At 54.0% G+C, this 1,503-nt stretch overlaps 1 annotated feature.

Moving 5' to 3' along the window:
• Positions 332–1,084: an enhancer, noted in NCBI's record as "H3K27ac-H3K4me1 hESC enhancer chr2:20050625-20051377 (GRCh37/hg19 assembly coordinates)". NCBI's record gives its function as "activates a minimal SCP1, AML or CMV promoter by ChIP-STARR-seq in primed H9 embryonic stem cells {active_cell/tissue: H9 hESC(primed)}" and the evidence as "EXISTENCE:reporter gene assay evidence [ECO:0000049][PMID:30033119]".

Below are 1,503 nucleotides of genomic sequence, written 5' to 3'. Positions count from 1 at the left end.
GACTCCAGAAACGCCAGGAAGGAGGTAAAGTGATGCATCCTCATCCCTTCATGTGTTATCAAGAGGACTTGAACTTCGATCCCTGAAAGCCAACATAACTTGTTCTCTTAGGAAGAATCGTGGTGTTGGAACCAGCAGTGCCTTTGCCATCATATAACCCAACTTTGGGTTTTACTTTAGAAGAAATAGTCTCTGAGACGGGTGTCTTTCGAGGATCACACAGTGGGTCAGTGATGTGGCTGAGATCAGACTTTTTTGCCCGACTTCATGTTGCCTCTTTGGACAAAGGAGGGGAGGAGGCAGGGTTTGGAGGGATTGGTGTCAGGCCACAGGGGGACAGCTTCCCAGAAACCCGGTGCTTATAGGGTACCTGAGTCATTAATGGCCTTCCCAGCCTGTGACCTACCTCTGCCCTTCCTGCAGCACTGAGCCTGTGCTGCTGAGATGCCCTGGTGCCTCCTTGGAGGCTGCATGGTGGGGGTAGTTGGTGGCTGGGAGGGGACAGGCTGCCTGGTGCTGACCTGCCTGGGCATGTAAGGATGACCCATTGTTCTCACCCTCTGTGGGTAGCCGCAGCAGCTGGGTGAGGGGCGCTGGGTCTGAAGCTCACGCCTGGACTTCCCTGGCCACCAGAGGGCTGAGCTCATGGCTGCAGCATCCCCGGTGGCCCTGCCGGCATGGGATGAGGGCTGGCCTCACCTGGGAGGTGCATCTGTGCTACTCACTGCATCATGAGCTTGAGAAAGTCTTTTCCTAAGTGGAACTTCTCTCAGAACTATTGCTTTGCCTGAGGGCATTTCAGGAACAGAGTGCTGTTACTCAGCCCTGATCACAGAGACCCTACGTGATGTTCCCACTCCTGCCCGTGTCTCTGTCTTGCTCCCCTGACTTCTTGGGCATCCATGCTTGAAAGAGGTTGGGACTTTTGCCATTTTGAAATTCTGAGTAAGTTGTGAACAAGAAGACCCACATTTTCATCTTGCATTGGGTCACTTCAGTGATGTAGCTGGTCCTGTCCTTAGCCCCAACTAGTCTCCCCCACCAACATGTGTTCCTAATAGATGATGGGGGTGGGTTAGGATAGGGCAGAGCAGAGGGCATCTCAGCATGGTGGGGGTAGTTGGTGGCTGGGAGGGGACAGGGTAGTTCACAAGAGACACCCAGTGCCTACAGCCACGGTGCCCGTGAGGCAAGTCCCTCATCCTAATAGTGATGGTGATCTTGTCCCACTTTCCCAAGCCACTGCATTCCAGACCCCTGGTCTGACCCCCCTGGTTTGGGGAACATGCTGGCTGCCGGCTCATAGCCACTTGTTTGGGGTGCTCGCCTGTCTGCCTGTCTATTTCTGCTGACTCTCAGAGGCACTAGCCTTCAGCCATGAGGCAGCCAGAGGATTTGTGAGTTACCTCATTTTGTTCACATTTACGTGGCCAAAGCCCATTGCAGACAAAACACCAATAAAAGCCCAGGCGCTGCAGAGCAGAGGGAGCAGGGTTGTTTTCA

Source organism: Homo sapiens, chromosome 2, assembly GCF_000001405.40.
Source record: "Homo sapiens chromosome 2, GRCh38.p14 Primary Assembly".
Taxonomy (NCBI): Eukaryota; Metazoa; Chordata; class Mammalia; order Primates; family Hominidae; genus Homo; species Homo sapiens.
Note: the sequence above shows the minus strand (reverse complement) of the source record. Positions and strands in the feature narration are given on the sequence as shown.